This window comes from Homo sapiens, chromosome 19 (assembly GCF_000001405.40).
Source record: "Homo sapiens chromosome 19, GRCh38.p14 Primary Assembly".
Taxonomy (NCBI): domain Eukaryota; kingdom Metazoa; phylum Chordata; class Mammalia; order Primates; family Hominidae; genus Homo; species Homo sapiens.
The window spans coordinates 4,639,144-4,656,269 of NC_000019.10; the positions used below are offsets into that span (position 1 = coordinate 4,639,144).

The 17,126-nt window shown below is 55.8% G+C and overlaps 1 protein-coding gene across 4 annotated transcripts, besides 5 other annotated features; it reads left to right on the plus strand.

Annotated features, from left to right (window-relative positions):
- Nucleotides 34-473: a silencer, noted in NCBI's record as "silent region_9899". NCBI's record gives its function as "represses an Ori minimal core promoter by ATAC-STARR-seq in GM12878 lymphoblastoid cells {active_cell/tissue: GM12878}" and the evidence as "EXISTENCE:reporter gene assay evidence [ECO:0000049][PMID:35858748]".
- Nucleotides 34-1,373: a biological region, named in NCBI's record as "H3K4me1 hESC enhancer GRCh37_chr19:4639529-4640528".
- TNFAIP8L1 (TNF alpha induced protein 8 like 1) lies at nucleotides 373-16,425 on the plus strand. Of its 4 annotated transcripts, none has more exons than NM_152362.3 (2): nucleotides 373-486; nucleotides 12,724-16,425. In NM_152362.3, the coding sequence occupies exon 2, from the start codon at nucleotides 12,727-12,729 to the stop codon at nucleotides 13,285-13,287; it is 561 nt and encodes a 186-aa protein (NP_689575.2). In that variant the 5' UTR covers nucleotides 373-486; nucleotides 12,724-12,726; the 3' UTR covers nucleotides 13,288-16,425. The 4 variants fall into 4 exon arrangements, with proteins under 4 accessions (NP_689575.2, XP_011525982.1, NP_001161414.1 ...); XM_011527680.3 differs by having other exon boundaries at nucleotides 373-482; NM_001167942.1 differs by lacking the exon at nucleotides 373-486 and adding an exon at nucleotides 874-1,016.
- Nucleotides 374-1,373: an enhancer, noted in NCBI's record as "H3K4me1 hESC enhancer chr19:4639529-4640528 (GRCh37/hg19 assembly coordinates)". NCBI's record gives its function as "activates a minimal SCP1, AML or CMV promoter by ChIP-STARR-seq in primed H9 embryonic stem cells {active_cell/tissue: H9 hESC(primed)}" and the evidence as "EXISTENCE:reporter gene assay evidence [ECO:0000049][PMID:30033119]".
- Nucleotides 9,302-9,441: an enhancer, noted in NCBI's record as "active region_13778". NCBI's record gives its function as "activates an Ori minimal core promoter by ATAC-STARR-seq in GM12878 lymphoblastoid cells {active_cell/tissue: GM12878}" and the evidence as "EXISTENCE:reporter gene assay evidence [ECO:0000049][PMID:35858748]".
- Nucleotides 15,589-15,638: a silencer, noted in NCBI's record as "silent region_9900". NCBI's record gives its function as "represses an Ori minimal core promoter by ATAC-STARR-seq in GM12878 lymphoblastoid cells {active_cell/tissue: GM12878}" and the evidence as "EXISTENCE:reporter gene assay evidence [ECO:0000049][PMID:35858748]".
- Nucleotides 16,426-17,126: the final 701 nt, after the last annotated feature.

Sequence of the window (17,126 nt, forward strand, 5' to 3'; positions counted from 1 at the left end):
CTGTGCCTCCCTCCCCAGGTTCTCTGTCTGTCTCGTACTCTTATCTCTTCCCTTTTCTGTGGCCGGCACCCCCACGACGGCCTCGCCCCCGCATCCGGGCCCCTTCGCGATTCCGGAGGAATCCCCCAGAGCCGCCTGACCCCGCCCCCAGGCTCCGCCCCTTCCCCCCACTTCCCCCCCGTCGCAGTGCCCTGCTCCCATTGGCCTTTTCGTACATTGCCCGCCCTGTCATTGGCTAATCCGGAGCGCTCGGCCCGCCCCCCAGGCCTGGCAACTCTCCGGTCCCTTCCGCGCGGGCGGGGCGAGTGGAGGGCGTGGCCTGCCGAGGGGCGAGGCGAGTGGAGGGCGGGGCCGCGCTGCCCGCCCCGCCCCGGCCCCGGCCCCGGCTCCGGCGCTGCTCCCACCGCCGCGGCAACGGCCCCGGCCCACGGAGGCGGCTGGACGGACCCCCGACGGTTGGACGTACGGACTCTGCTTCGAGAGTAGGTGAGCGAGCAGTGCCGGGGCGCCCCCCATTTCAGCGCATCTCGGGGGCCACCTGGCCGCCCTCTGTCTCTCCCGCCCCTTAATGCTTCTGCACCCCACCGCCTGTCCGTCTACATTCCTGCCTCAGTTTCCGTCTGTCTCTCTGTCACTCTCGCTGTATAGGTTAGGGGGAGACAGATTGAGTCTCAATTGCCCCCCTTGGCGTGGGGCTCTGCTCTGGGACCAGCACCCCCATCCCCCATGTGGACTCTAGTGGACTCTGCCCCCTTTAACTGTAGGGCCGCAGGTGCTCAGGCCAGATTCCAGAACCCTGAGGGCATTCCAGGCGGTGGGCAGCTGGGCCAGCCGTGCGGAGGTGGGCATGACTGTAGCTTCTAGCTAAACCAGGCATCGGTCCAGGCATCGGTGGCGGGGAGCCAGGCCTAGGCCAGCCCGGGCCCACCCAGACTGGCCCCTAATGAGCTCCCAAGTGGCCTGTGGGGACTTGGCCTCAGTTTTGCCAGCTGTGAACTGGGACCGTCGCTGCTAAGGTAATTGGCAGGTGATCTGAAGGACACCTGCCGCCTCCTGGCCTTTTCTGTGAAGTCGAACTAGGCCCATTTCCTGGGATGGGAAACTAAGGCCTAGAAAGAGGCCAATGCTTCCAATGTTTGTCCAGGGAAGTGGGGACAGAGGCAGGACAGAATCTGTTTTCTCTGCATCCTCACATTTCCCAGCACCTTCTCTATGGAGGGGGGAAGGGCTGGTGGAGGAGCAGCCCCAGGTGTAAACAGGCCGCCAGAGTTTATTTCCTGAGCCAGTCCCAGCTCAGCTGGAGGCGATGAACGCCTTGGGAGGCCCCAGGGGGGCCAGCCCAGTGGTGGCGGAGCTTGGACCAATCTAGGTTTGAGCTCTGCCACCCGCATGATATCTTGAACCAGTTTTTCAATTCTGCGGAGCCTCAGTTTCCTCATCTGTAAAACAGGAGTGGGTCGTAACTCCCCAAGTTGAGGGCTGCTGGGGGATCAGATGCAGGAATACAGGCCCTGCTCATAACCTGCCTGACTCTCGCTGTGGCTCTGCCCCAGTCACACTGGCCTCCTCCTGTTTCTCCAACACCCCAGGCGAGGTCCTCTCTCAGGGCCTTTGCATGGGCTGTGCCCTCTGCCACTACGGCAGGTCCGAGGGCGCCAACTTTGAAACATAACAAGCTCCCTGGATGGGCCGGACCCAGGACCTGCACAGGCAAGGGCTGGGAGGGGCAGAGGAGGGGCCGCTCAGGGACGCTGTACCTATGGAAACCGTGAACAAAGGGCTGTCTCCAGCCACACAAACACCTGGGTGAATCGGGCACTGGCCAGAGGCTGGAGCAGCCTGGGATACAGGTGGTGGGTGAGTGCCTGGACCCCTGCAGGGAATATGGGGCCGGGGGGGGGACTTGAACCCTGCTCCAATGGTGGGGTGGCTCTGCAGACGGGTGCAGGTCTGAGGCCCCGCGGTACGGCCCCTCCCACTGTGTGGCCTTGGACCGACGGTCAGGTGCCCCCAGAGCCTCAGTTTCCTCATCCCCGTTCCCCCAGGGGTCAGCCCAGGTGGGTGAGGGGTCTTTTGATTGCTTGACAATTCAGTATGGTGGGTTCCGGAGGCCTCAGTGTCCCTGTCTGTCCAATGGGGCCACGAAAGGGTGCCTTGAGGACAAAACTCCAGCCGTTGACAGGGGAACACTCCTCCCAGAGAGACGTCAACGCTAAAAAATGACTCACACTTGCCCAGGTACAGCTCAGGTGTTACAGACGGGGAGCAGGGCAAGGAGGCAGAGCGAGAGGCAGGAACGGCCCAGTTCCACAGCATGCCTGCCCCTTCCCAGCATCTCCCGACACCCCTCAGCAGATGACCTCCCTGGAATCACACCCGCTCGAGCTTTGACGCAGGGACCTCTGGCAGAGTTCTTGGGATCTTGTAAATCCCCAGCTTCTAGGCCTCAGTTTCCCCATCTGTCCAATGGGGCTGGTCATCTCCTTTTTCTTGTGGGGCTGAGATAACTGTGGGGAGGGAGGGTGCTTTGAGGGGTGGGGGAGATTCAACAAGATATTGTTAAAAGCCCGAGGAGGGGATTACAGGACACAGTACTTCTAGAAGCTTCCTAAGGCTTCGATCCTTCCCCTCTGGGGTGGGCTCTGGGAGAGACGAGACTTGAACCCCAAATGTGCCATTGACTAGGATGAGGAAAGGATTGCACTAGGTTAAAGGCTGGGTTCAAATTCTGATTCTGCCACATCACTGCTTTATAAACAGGCAAGCTCCTGACCCTCTGTGACTCAGTTTCCTTATAACCAAAAACTTGCAGGTCCATCTAGAGAATTTCCCAGCCTGGGCAACATGGTGAAACCCTGTCTCTACTTAAAACAAAGAAAAAAAAATTAGCCAGGTGTGGTGTCGCAGGCCTGTAGTCCCAGCCACTCTGGAGGCTGAGGTGGGAGGATCACCTGAGCCCAGGGAGGTTGAGGCTGCAGTGAGCCGAGCTCATGCCACTGCACTTCAGCCTGGGCGACAGGAGTGAAACCCTGTCTCAAAGAAAAAGAAGAGAATTGGCTGGGCGCCGTGGCTCACGCCTGTAATCCCAGCACTTTGGGAGGCTGAGGTGGCCGGATCACCTGAGGTCAGGAATTCGAGACCAGCCTGGCCAAGAGGGCAAAACCCTGTCTCTACTAAAAATACAAAAATGAGGCGGGCGTGGTGGTGGGTGCCTGTAATCCAGCTACTCAGGAGGCTGAGGCAGGAGAAACACTTAAACCCAAGAGGCAGAGGTTGCAGTGAGCCGAGATTGCACCACTGCTCTCCAGCCTGGGTTGACAGAGTGTGAGACTCCATCTCAAAAAAAAAAAAAAAATTAAAAATATACACATAAAATAAATAAAATAGATGGGGGATCTGGGAGGGCTTCCTGAGGAGGGGCCATGTAAACCCAGACCTGGATGACAAGAAGGAAACAGCCATGTGGAGACCTGGGAGAAGAGCAGCTCAGGCAGAGGGCACAGGTTGTGTAAAGGCCCTGGGGCAAGATGGCGCCTGGCATGGTAGAGGAGCAGCAAGGAGGCCCGTGGGGCTGGAGCAGTGAGGAGGAGGAGAGAGGGAGGAGGGGAGGGCAGGGAGGGGACAGGGCAGGGTGCGCAGGATCTTATGGGCTGCCAGGAATACTTGGCTTTGACCCCAAGGGAGGTGGGAGCCATGGAGGGTGGTGGGCAGGGGAAGGATGGAACCTGACTCAGGTACTCACAGGCACCCATTGGCTGCTACAGGGAGGACAGACGGGGGGCATGGGGATAGATGGTGCTGAGGGACGAGGGGACCAGGATGGAGGCTGTGGGGGAGATAAGAAGTGGGTTGCGTTAGGCCAGGCAGGGTGGCTCATGTAATCCCAGCACTTTGGGAGGCTGAGGCAAGTGGATCACCTGAGGTCAGGAGTTGGAGACCAGCCTGACCAACATGGTGAAACCCCATCTCTACTAAAAATACAAAAATTACCCAGGCATGGTGGCACGTGTCTGTAATACCAGCTACTCAGGAAGCTGAGGCAGGAGAATCACCTGAACCCAGGAGGCGGAGGTTGCAGTGAGCCGAGATCACGCCGCTGCACTCCAGCCTGGGCAACAGAGTGAGACTCTGTCTCAAAAAAAAAAAAAAAGTGGGTTGCATTGGGACACATTTAGGGGCTGGATGCACCTCCTGCCAGGTGATCCTAGGCTTCTCTGCACTCTAATAATTTATTGCTTGGGCTGAGGCAAGCCTGTCCCCTCCTCTGCAGAGTCATGGGCTGTGGGTAGCTGATAATTCATGTTTGGCCCTCGAACCCTTTCTCCAGTGGAAATCTGGCCACAGTGGAAAGTGTCCAGGCTCCCCGCCACAACCCAGCAGGCAGCTGGCCCCTGCCCATCCATGGGGTGGTCCTGAGGGTGCTGGGGAACCCAGTTTGAGAACAACTGATGTCACCCCCAACTTGGGCCAACAGATTCCCCTCTCTCTTTTGCCATAACTAAAATGGACACTGGCGAAGTATGGCGGCTCATGCCTGTAATCCTAGCATTCTGGGAGGCCGAAGCAGGAGGATCGCTTGAGCCCAGGAGGAGACCAGCCTGGCCAACATGGCAAAACCCCATCTCTACTAAAAATACAAAACTTAGCCAGGCATGGTGGCAGGTGCCTGTAATCCCAGCTATTTGGGAGGCTGAGGCAGGAGAATTGCTTGAACTGGAGAGGTGGAGGTTGCAGTGGGCTGAGATCGCGCAACAGAGCGAGACTCCATCTCAAAAAATAAATAAATAATAAAATTGGCCGTTCACGGTGGCTTATGCCTGTAATCCCAGCACTTTGGGTGGCCGAGGCGGGTGGATCACCTGAGGTCAGGAATTCGAGACCAGCCTGACCAACATGGAGAAAACCCCGTCTCTACTAAAAATACAAAATTAACCGGGCGTGGTGGCGCATGCCTGTAATCCCAGCTACTTGGGAGGCTGAGGCAGGAGAATCACTTGAACCCAGGAGGCAGAGGTTGCAGTGAGCTGAGATCATGCCATTGCACTCCAGCCTGGGCAACAAGAGTGAAACTCCGTCTCAAAAAAATAAAATAAAAATAAAATAAAATGGACACTGGCCAAGTGTGGCAGCTCACGCCTGCAATCCCAGCACTTTGGGAGGTCAAGGCGGGAGGATCACTTGAGCCCAGGAGTTCGAGACTAGCCTGGGCAACATAGCAAGACGCCATGTCTACCAAAAAAAAAAAAAAAAAATTAACCAGGCATGGTGGCACATACCTGTAGTCCCAGCTACTCAGGAGGCTGAGGTGGGAGGATCACTTGAGCCCAGGAGGTCGAGGCTATAGTGAGCTATAATGGTACCACTGCACTCCAGCCTGGGCAACAGAGTAAGACCTTGTCTTAAAAAAAAAATGAATAAATAAAAATAAAATGGACACCGGCTTGCAAGTCCTGAGTCATGGATTTTTTTTTTTTTTTTTTTTTTTTTGAGATAGAGTCTCACTCTGTTTCTCAGGCTGGAATGAAGTGGAGCTCACTGCAACCTCTGCCCCCCAGGTTCATGCGAGTCTCGTGACGCAGCCTCCCGAGTAGCTGGGATTACAGGCGTGTGCCACACACGGCTAATTTTTGTATTTTTAGTAGAGATGGGGTTTCACCATGTTGGCCAGGCTGGTCTTGGACTCCCGACCTAAGGTGATCTGCCCGCCTCGACCTCCCAAAGTGCTGGGATTACAGGCATGAGCCACCACGCCCAGCCTGTGAGTCATGGGTCTTAAAGGGCTTGGTGCAGTGGGACCCTGGGAGTCGGTGGGATGAGGCCTGGGATCACTGGCCTCGGCGGGAAGAGGCCTGAGGCCCCCCCTGGGCCCCCGGACTGAGTGCAGCCGGGGCTGAGACAAGACAGATGGAGCGGCTGGCGTGCACCTGCAGAGCAGATCCATCAATTATTGACACTCTGTGAGGTGCATGAAGAATTCATGGGACAGGGGTGGGGACGGCAGGGACTTGTGACATAATTGCAGCCAGCTCACCAGAGCCACCTCCTGTGTTTTCAGGAATTTTGCCATCTGGTAGTTAAACGCAGCCATTATTTAACGTGGGAGAATATAAACTTATAGTTAAGGCTGGGCGTGGTGGCTCCCACCTGTAATCCCAGCAGTTTGGGAGGCCGAGGCGAGTAGATCACTTGAGGCCGGGAGTTAGAGACCAGCCTGGCCGACATGGCCAAACCCCGTCTCTACTAAAAATACACAAATTTGTATTTTTGTACAAATACAAATACACCAGCTGGGTGTGGTGGCATGCACCTGTAGTCCTAGCTACTTGGGAGGCTGAGGCTGAGGCAGGAGAATCGCTTGAATCCGGGAGGCAGAGGTTGCAGTGAGCTGAGATTTGGCCACTGCACTCCAGCCTGGGAGACAGAGCAAGACTCCATCTCAAAATACATACAAACATACATACATACATAAACTTATAGTTAAATAAAGTACATTTAAGCCAGGGGTGGTAGCTCACACCTGTAGTCCCAGCACTTTGGGAGGCTGAGGCAGGAGGATCCGTCTCAAAAAAAAAAAAAAAAAGGAATATAGGGAGCAGGGGAAGAGTCAAGGGAGCCAGGGAGTTGGTGCCTGGTCACCCATTTTGCAGATGGGAAAGCTGCCCCCATGCATGGGGCCTGCCAAGGGTCACAGCAGGGAGACCTCAGAGCTGTGGACGGACCTGGACAGAGGCTGTGGACAGGGCTGAGGCCTCCTGGCTGTTCCTGTAACAAGCGTGACACAGCCCTGCCCCAGGGCCTTTGCACAGGCTGTGCCCTTTGCCTGGAGCATCTTCCCGCAGACCCTGTCATTGCAGGCCCAGTTCAACTGGCCCAGCCTCTCCCTAGAGAGGCCCTCCTGGTTACCCTGAACTTCATCCCCCACCCCCGTGGCCCATATCTCTCTTCCTGAAATTAACTTGTTTGTTTCTATTTATTGGTTACCGGCACCTCCTCCTTCCAGCAGGGGAACAGTTTTTGCACCCAGGCTGGAGTGCAGTGGAACAATCTCGACTCCCTGCAACCTCCGCCTCCCAGGTTCAAGCGGTTCTCCTGCCTCAGTCTCCCGAGTAGCTGGAATTACAGGTGCTCGCCACCACGCCCGGCCGACTTTTTTTTTTTTTTTCAGTTGAGTCCGGGTCTCACTATGTTGGCCAGGCTAGTCTTGAACTCCTGGCCTCAATTGATCCTCCTCCCTCTGCCTCCCAAACTGCTGGGATTACAGTTATGAGCCACCGCACCTGGCCAATCATTGTTTTAAAGTGTACAATTTATAACCAGAAAGTTATGTGACCATCATAAATTTCTGGAATCTCTAATTCCAGAACATTCCATTACCACTCACCCCAAAAAAACCTGGTTCCCAATTTAGCAATCGCTTTCCATTTTCCCCTCTTCCAGTTTCCAGCACCCGCGAGTCCGCTTTCTGCCCTTGTGGACAGGCCTCTCCTGAACATTTTTTTTTTTTTGAGATGGAGTCTCGCTCTGTCACCCAGGCTGGAGTACAGTGACGTGATCTTGGCTCACTGCAAGCTCCGCCTCCCGGGTTCACGCCATTCTCCTGCCTCAGCCTCCCGAGTAGCCAGGATTACAGGTGCCCGCCACCGCGCCCCGCTAATTTTTTGTATTTTTAGTAGAGACGGGGTTTCACCGTGTTAGCCAGGATGGTCTCGATCTCCTGACCTTGTGATCCGCCCGCCTCGGCCTCCCAAAGTGCTGGGATTGCAGGCGTGAGCCGGTGCCCGGCCCTTCCTGAACATTTCATAGAAGTGGGATCACACACTTTGTGGCCTTGTGTGTCTGGCTTCTGTCACTGGGAATGATGTCCTCAAGGTGCATCCACGCTGGAGCTTGTGTGTGAGCCTCGTTCCTTTTATGGCTAGAGAACATTCCATTGTTTGGACCGATCTCATTTTGTTTATTCATTCACCCATTAATGGACATACGGACATTTGAGTTGCTTCCACTTGCAGGCTACCCTGGGTCACGCCGCTGTAAACTGTGACGTGCAAAACAAGTGTTTGCGTGGTGTATGCTTGTGTTTCTCTTGGGTAGATCCCCCAAAGTGGAATTGCTGGGTCCTATGGTAACTGTGTGTTTAGATGTCTGAGGAGCCGTCGGACTGGGTTTTTTTGTTTTGTTTTTTGTTTTTTGTGACGGAGTCTCGCTCTATCACCCAGGCTGGAGACCTCGGCTCACTGTCACTGCAACCTCCACCTCCCGGGTTCAAATGATCCTCCTGCCTCAGCCTCCAGAGTAGCTGGGATTACAGGTGCCTGCCACCATGCCCAGCTAATTTTTTTTGTATTTTTAGTAGAGATAAGGTTTCACCATGTTGGCCAGGCTGATCTCAACTCTTCACCTCAGGTGATCTGCCCACCTCAGCTTCCCAAAGTGCTGGGATTACAGGTGTGAGTCAGTGCACCTGGCTTTTTTTTTTTTTTTTTTTTTTTTCCTTTTGAGACAGGGTTTTGCTCTGTTGCTCAGGCTGGAGTGCAGTGGTGTGATCATAGCTCACTGCAGCCTTGACCTCGTGGGCTCAAGCGATTCTCCCCCTCTCAGCCTCCCGAGTACCTGGGACCACAGACCCGTGCCACCATGCCTGGCTAATTAAAAAAAATTTTTTTTTGTAGAGATGGGATCTCGCTATGTTGCCCAGGCTGGTCTTGAACTTCCCAGTTCAAGCAATCCTCCTGCCTTGGCCTCTTAAAGTGTTGGGATTACAGGTGTGAGCCACCTTGCCTGGCCCAGATGATTTTGTAATGAGGAGGCAGCTTGGGGTCTAGAAAGCCAGGGCCTTAGCAAGGCAGGGATGGGATCTGTTTTGATGCCTGCTGTATCCCCAGTGCCTCTGTGGTCTCTTCTGCAAAGCAGGCAACCTGGCCAGTACCAGGTGGGAATGACGAATAGGCACAGGTCGCTGGCTCAGGACACTGGGGTTTGGTTACAAGCTTCTGCCCCAGGACAGCTGGTGCTCCATAAATGCTCGTTGAGCCACTGAATGGGTGTTAACACCTGAATCCCAGAAGCTGTAGCAGGCTGTGTGTGTTTGTGACGATGGCAGGGTGCCCTGGCATTTGGAGGGCGATGCCCCTAGGCCCCAGGCAGTCCCTAGGAAGGCCCCTGCCCTGTAAGGGCTGATGCGGCCGCTACACCGCCTCCTGCAGGAAGGAAGACCCAGGTTTATTTTGGTCCTCGGCCTGTTCCCCTGGGAGAGCAGTCATCCTCCTGTCTGGCTGCCTGGATGGGAGCGTTTCTGGCAGAACAATGGGTCAGGGAGGAGGAAGGGGAAGGCCAGGCAGCTGGGCCGCCCCAGGTGTCAGCAGGTCCCGGGGCTGCCCCGGCCGTCTTAGGAGTGTGGGGGCCAGGAAGGGAGGCCACAGCTGCTTGCCCCCCATCCCTCTTCCTGTTGGCCTTGCAGGGGGCGGGGGTTGCTCTTGGGAGCCCAGGCCCTTCCTGAATCTGTAAACAGGCCTGACTCCCGTCCGGAATCAACTTCTTCAGCCTCAGGACTCACAGATGGGAAAGTCAAGGCCCAGCGAGGGGCACAGCCCTGCCTGGGGTCACGGAGCTCCCGAGATGGGCAGAAAGATGTGGGCTCCAGGGCCGATGGGGTCCAGGGGCCTCATCCCCAGATGCAGAGAAAGGCCTTTTCCTCTTCGAGTCCCCTCGGTTTATTCATCTATGAACTGGGGAGGCTGGACCCAGGGGTTCGGGAGTTTCCTCTTAGAATCTGCAAACATCCTTTTTTTTTTTTTTTTTTTTTTGAGATTGAGTTTTGCTCTTGTTGCCCAGGCTGGAGTCCAGTGGTGTGATCTCAGCTGACTGCAACCTACGCCTCCTGGGTTCGAGCGATTCTCCTGTCTCAGCCCCCAAAGTAGCTGGGACTACAGGCGCCCACCACCATGCCCAGCTAATTTTTGTATTTTTAGTAGAGACGGGGTTTCACCATGTTGCCCAGGCTGGACTCGAACTCCTGACCTCAAGTGATCCTCCCGCCTTGGCTTCCGAAAGTGCTGGGATTACAGGTGTGAGCCACCGCGCCCGGCCAGCTTTTTTTTTTTTGCACAGGGAATCTCACTGAGATAGAACTAGGTCTGCAAGTTCACAGAGCTGAGGTGGGCACGGAAGGGCGGAATTCCAGGCAGTGGTTGCAGCCTCTCGTCCAGAGGAAGCTCACAGCTTAGGGGGCATTGCGGTTTGGTCACAAGCTTCTGCCCCAGGACAAAGTTCGTTCCGATCTTCCCCATATTTCAGATGGGGAAACTGAGGCACATTGTTAAGTTGCTTGCTGCAGAGGCCAGAGCTGGGAGCAGGCCCTAAATATCAGGGTTGCCCTCTAAGACTCACGGCCAGTTGAGGGCGTTAGGTGGGGAAGGCACAGGGAGTTGGGGTTCAAGGGCGTTGAGAGCCAGTGGTTACTGTATTGCTGTGTGGTCTTGGGGAAGTGGCTCAGCCTCTCTGAGCCTTTGTGGTCTCTTCTGCAAAACAGGCAACCTGCCTAGTACATGGTGGCGATGACAAAGTGGGCACACATCGCTGACTCAGGGTCTGCCACGTGGCACTGAGTCAACAGCACCCCTCTTCTGGCCTAGGCCTGTGCAGAGCCAGGGTCTGGTGACCGAGGTCGGAGGGCAGGGGCGGCCCATCCAGCAATTCCCGTGCCTGCCCTGACCTCAGAGGGCGGCCGAGGGTTTGGAACTTCTCCCGGAGTCTGAACTCACACAAAGACCGGCTTTGTGGGGGCTCCTGGGGTAGGTGGGTGCCCACATGGCATTCCAAGGCTGGCAGCCTGGCGCTGGGGTGGGAGTGGAGGCTGAGCAGGGTCTGGGGCAGTGAGAGAGACCGGGGGCGGGTCTCAGGCCCTCCCTCCTCCGCCAGTTCTTCCACACTCCCCTCTTCATTCAGCAGATGTTTCTGGAGTCTGCAGGGACACCGTGGATAAGGAATTGGGCCCATGACCTCCCCTGTGGCCTGGGGTGAGGCAGACCAGTTGGGGTGCAGAGCTGGGGAGCAGAGGAGCAATGGGGATGCCTGGGGAACCTGCGGCTCAGAGGAGGCAGAGACTTGGGGGCCAAAGTGATGGGGATGTATAGTTTACCAGGGAAGAGGCAGGGGCTTGGGGGCCAGGCTTTGGGGGGTGTATAGGAGTTCACCAGGGAGGAGATGGGGCCTTAGGGTATTGAGGTCCACAGGGAAGAGTCAGGGCTCCAAGTGAGGTGTGGAGCTTGGTCCTGGGAGCTTTGAGGAGCTGTCAGCTTGTTCTCAGCAGGTAAGGGCTATGCCCTACTCTGAGATTTAGGAAGAATTCCGGAGCTGCAGGAAGGAGGTGGGTGGAGGGGGAAGCTCCAGGGCTGGGGAAACTGGGCAGGCTACAGGGCAGGGTGGACAGAGAAAAGGAGCAGACAGGGACAGGGGGATGGTTCTGCAGTGAGAGGCCTGGCCCTTATGCCTCGAGAGCTGGCCAGGCTCTCACCTTGGCCACCTCCCCAGTCCCAGCCTGGACGGGGGCTGTCCAAGTCAATGTTTCCCTGTTGGAGGAATCATCGGAGCCATGCCTTCCCAGAAACCCCACAAATGGCCCCCTGTGAACCCATCACCCCCTGGCTCACTCGGGGCTGAAGGCCTTGGACATGCCTGTTATAAACCCTGTCGGGGGCCAGGTGTGGTGGCGGGCGCCTGTAGTCCCAGCTACTCCGGAGGCTGAGGCAGGAGAATGGCGTGAGCCCAGGAGGCGGAGCTTGCAGTGAGCCGAGATCGTGCCACCACACTCCAGCCTGGGCGACAGAGGGAGATTCCATCTCAAAAAATAGTAATAATAATAATAATAAAATAAATAAATAATAAATAAACCAACCCTGCGGGGGCAGTGGGACTGGAGGCACTGCCATAGTAATGGGGCTCCTCCACCCTGAACAGCCCCGGGTCTGGGGCTCACTTGGAACCCCACCTCATGGAGCTGTGGGGTGAGGGTGGGGAGTGTTGAGCTGGACCTAGGGGATGGAACGGAACCCCCTGTAACAATCACCTTGAGCCCCTTCTCAGCTCATAGCAAGGATATGATGGGTTTGAGGGCTGGCATCAGACCCTACAGATAGTGGGGTTCAGAAGGGCCTTCTCTGTTTGTTTATAATAATAATCATAATAATAAATACAAAATAAAATTTTTGATTTTTTTTTTTTAGAGATAGGGTCTTGTTATGTTGCCCAGGCTGGTCTCAAACTCCTGGCCTCGCAATTCTCCTGCCTCAGCCTCCCAGAGCACTGGGACCACAGGCATGAACCACAGGCTTGAATTATAGGCTGCAGTGCGGTGGCATGGTCTTAGCTCACTGCAACCTCCGCCTCCCGGGCTCAAGGGATTCTCCTGCCTCAGCCTCCCAAGTAGCGGGGATTGCGGGCACCCATCACCAAGCCTGGCTAATTTTTGTATTTTTAGTAGAGAGAAACATGGGTTTCACCATGTTTGCCAGGCTGGTCTCGCACTCCTAACCTCGATCTCAGGCGATCCGCCTGCCTAGGCATCCCAAATTGCTGGGATTACAGGCGTGAGCCACTGCGTCCGGCATGACACTTTTTAAAGAAACAAATTCCGTTAGGCCCTCTGGGGTCTGTGGTGTTGTCACCTCTTCTGTGTGAGGAGTGCCCCAACGTGCAAAACTGAGGGCTGGTCTGTGTCCCCCGCAGGCCATGGACACCTTCAGCACCAAGAGCCTGGCTCTGCAGGCGCAGAAGAAGCTCCTGAGTAAGATGGCGTCCAAGGCAGTGGTGGCCGTGCTGGTGGATGACACCAGCAGTGAGGTGCTGGATGAGCTGTACCGCGCCACCAGGGAGTTCACGCGCAGCCGCAAGGAGGCCCAGAAGATGCTCAAGAACCTGGTCAAGGTGGCCCTGAAGCTGGGACTGCTGCTGCGTGGGGACCAGCTGGGCGGTGAGGAGCTGGCGCTGCTGCGGCGCTTCCGCCACCGGGCGCGCTGCCTGGCCATGACGGCCGTCAGCTTCCACCAGGTGGACTTCACCTTCGACCGGCGCGTGCTGGCCGCCGGGCTGCTCGAGTGCCGCGACCTGCTGCACCAGGCCGTGGGTCCCCACCTGACCGCCAAGTCCCACGGCCGCATCAACCACGTGTTCGGCCACCTAGCCGACTGCGACTTCCTGGCTGCGCTCTACGGCCCCGCCGAGCCCTACCGCTCCCACCTGCGCAGGATCTGCGAGGGCCTGGGCCGGATGCTGGACGAGGGCAGCCTCTGAACCCCGGCGCCGCCCAACCGCGCCCCTCGCGCCTTTTGGGGCTCTCCTGCTGGGCGCGGGTGGGGTTTGTGGGTTTTTTTCCACCTCTTTTCTCCCAATCGGACTCCGGCCAAACTCCCCTAGACAGATGGGTGACCTGTCTCCTTTGAGAGGATGCTGAGGCATCTGTAGCAGCTGTTTCAAACACCAATGTCACCTCTCCTCCTGGCCCCCGCCCAATGGGGAGAGGAATTTGGGGCCCTACTCTGGGGACCACCTTTCACCCGTTTGTACTTTCTGGGCCACGCCGACCCCTGGGTCGCTTGATGTAAAAGCCAAAAGCTGCTGCCTCCCACTTGGATCATGTCGCCTGGGATTTTCATCCCTCGCACAAGGACTACGGGTTCACACGGTGAACTGGGGGAAGGGAAGTGTTAGGGGGCAAGTCGCGGCACCCCCCCTTCCATAAACTCACGTCCTAACCCCCAGGACCTCAGAAGATGATCTGATTTGGAAATAGGATCATTACAGATGGAATTAGTTCAGATGATCTCATCTTGGAGTAGGGTGGGCCCCAATTCAAGGACTGGGGTCCTTAAAAAAAGGGGGCCTGGGGCAGGGCGCGGTGGCTCACGCCTGTAATCCCAGCACTTTGAGAGGCTGAGGCGGGCGGATCACGAGGTCAGGAGATCGAGACCATCCTGGCTAACACGGTGAAACCCCATCTCTACTGAAAATACAAAAAATTAGCTGGGCATGGTGGCACATGCCTGTAGTCCCAGCTACTCGGGAGGCTGAGGCAGGATAATCACTTGAACCAGGAGGAGGAGGTTGCAGTGAGCCGAGATTGTGCCACTGCACTCCAGCCTGGGTGACAGAGCAAGACTCTGTCTCAAAAAAAGAAGCGGGGGAGTGGGGGATTGAGGCCACGTGCAGTGGCTCACTACTCTAATTCCAGCACTTTGGGAGGCCGAGGCAGGAAGATTGCTTGAACTCAGAAGTTCAAGACCAGTCTGGGCAACATGGTGAGACCCTCGTCTCTACAAAAAAAAAATTATCGTGGTGGGCCGGGCGTGGTGGCTCACACCTGTAATCCCAGCACTTTGGGAGGCTGAGGCGGGCAGATCACAAGGTCAAGAGATCGAGACCATCCTGGCCAACATGGTGAAACCCCGTCTCTACTAAAAATACAAAAATTAGCCGGGCATGGTGTTGCGTGCCTGTAGTCCCAGCTACTTGGGAGGCTGAGGCAGGAGAATCGCTTGAACCTGGGAGGCGCAGGTTGCAGGGAGGCGGAGGTTGCAGTGAGCCGAGATTGCACCACTGCACTTCAGCCTGGTGACAGAGCGAGACTCGTCTCAAAAAAAAAAAAAAAAAAAAAAAAAAAAGTGACTGTGGTGGTGCACACGTATAATCCCAGCTACTTGAGAGATGACGAGGGAAGATCACTTGAGCCCAGGAGTTAAGAGGCTGCAGTGACCGATGATCATGCCACTGCACTCCAGCTTGGGTGAGAGTGGGACTCTGTCTTAGAAAGAAAAAAAAAAGTATTTGGACACAGACATGCATGCAAGGAAGGCCAATGATGCCGGCCACCACCAGGAGCTGGGAGAGGCCCAGGGCAGATCCCCTTCAGCCTTGGAGGGACCTAGCCCTGGCCACACCTTCATCTCAGACTTGCGGCCCAGAGAACTGAATGAGAATAAATGTGCGTGAAGCCCCTCAGTCCACAGGATGTGGTACTGGAAGCCCCCACTCAAGAAGGCTCCAGTGAATGCTGGCACGTTCAGCCAGGATGCCTCCGTGAAGCTGGAGACCTCTGCCCTGGGTCGGGAGGGGAAACTGCTCCAATCCAGGGACTGCCACATGGGAGGGGACGGAGCGTGCCCACCTCCCAGGGGTGAGGGGGGACCCACCTGAGATGTGTGCACATTTTATTTATTTATTGTTTTGAGACAAAGTCTCGCTGTGTCACCCAGGCTGGAGTGCAGTGGTGAAATCTCGGCTCATTGCAGCCCCTTCCTTCCAGGCTCAAGTGATCCTCCCACCTCAGCCCCGGGTAGCTGGGACTACAGGTGTGCACGAGCACACCCGGCTAATCTTTGTATTTTTTGTAGACAGAAGGTCTCACCATGTTGCCCAGGATGGTCTCGAACTCCTGGGCTCAAGCGACCTACCTACCTCGGCCTCACAAAGTGTGCACATTGTAATATCGTGATTTCATATTTGGAGAATCAGCAACCAACCAGCCAACCATGTTGCTTTTATAAGACAGAGCTGAGAAAGCAAAGCTTGGCTGTCGTCTTGGCTCTGGTACCACCCACGAGATGCGGGCGATTCTCAGCTCAGGGCGTGGAGGCGTGGTGTGGGGGAGTCTATTTGCCATTTTTGTTTGTCAGCAGGGGGCAGGGGTTCTCAAAGATTGCAAAATGCTGCTGCAGGTCAGGAAGGTTATTTTGGGTGCCTGTGGGGGAGGTGAAACAAGGTCCCATGACTGTTTTGCAGAACCTTGTCTGTGGAGGGTAGAGGTTGCGGCAGGGGCCTGTGGGCCTTACTTGGTGAGAAGGTAGGTCTAGCTGGCTCCATTCAGTATTTGAGACATTTGGAATTTGTCTGCATTTAAAACCAAGAGATCACACACACCTGTCTGGATTTGGAGTTTCTCTTGAAAACTCGCCAGTCCGGCCGTCTGAGCCTGCACTGACGCCTGGTGAAGCTGTGCAGGGGCCGCCCCTCTCCCTTTCACCACAGTCCTCTCCACTCCCTTTCGCCTCTCCCTGGCCTGCTGCACTCACTGATAGGAAATTCTGACCCCAGACTCGGAGCAGCCTTCCCGTGGTTCGGTTTTTGCTTCCGCGAAAAAGCCAAAGGCCTTGGCCAGAGAGCCAGCTGTTCCTACCTCTACCCCACGCTTCCAAGGCAACCTTCTCCACTTATCTTAGGCCGAGAGACAGCTCTTCAAGAACGTACATGGATCCTGATTTTCTCACGAAGTCCCGATGGAACCCTGTGCTGTTGAGACATCAGTGTGTAAAACTCTCTGTGTCCCTGTTGGGCTGTCCAGACAGTCTGGACTCTTGTAAATTTGAGATTTAATTAAAGGAAACAAACCAAATAGGACTGCGGAACAATTTAAATAAAAGCACACACCAGCCTGGGCGCAGTGGCTCATGTCAGTTAAACCTAGTGCTTTGGGAGGCCGAGGCAGGAGGATCACTTGAGCCAAGGAGTTCAAGACCACCCTGGGCAACATAGCGAGACCCTATCTCTAAAAATATATATATATAAGGCCAAGTGCAGTGGCTCACGCCTGTCATCCCAGCACTTTGGGAGGCTGAGGCAGGCAGATCACCTGAGGTCAGGAGTTCAAGACCAGCCTGGCCAAGATGGTGAGACCCCATCTGTACTAAAAAGTACAAAAATTAGCTGGGCATGGCGGCGGGTGCCTGTAATCCCAGCTACTTGGGAGGCTGAGGCAGGAGAATCACTTGAACCTGGGAGGCGGAGGTTGCAGTGAGATGAGATCGTGCCACTGCATTCCAGCCTGGGCAACAGAGTGAGACTTGGTCTCAGAAACAGAATAAAAAAATAAAAAATTATAGCCAGTCAGGGTGGCATGCACATGTGGTCCCAGCTATCTGGAAGGATGGCTTGGACCCAGGAGGTTGAGGCTGCGGTGAGCCGAGATCGCACCACTGCACTCCAGCCTGGGTGATGGAGCAAGATCCTGTCCAAAAAAAAAAAAAAAAAGCACACATATGCACACGTAAGGTCAGAGGGGAAGCTCCTGTGTGTCCCGAGATGCCCTGATGTATGCTGGTGCATCAGGCCACCCGGGCATCATCCTTGATGACAGCCAG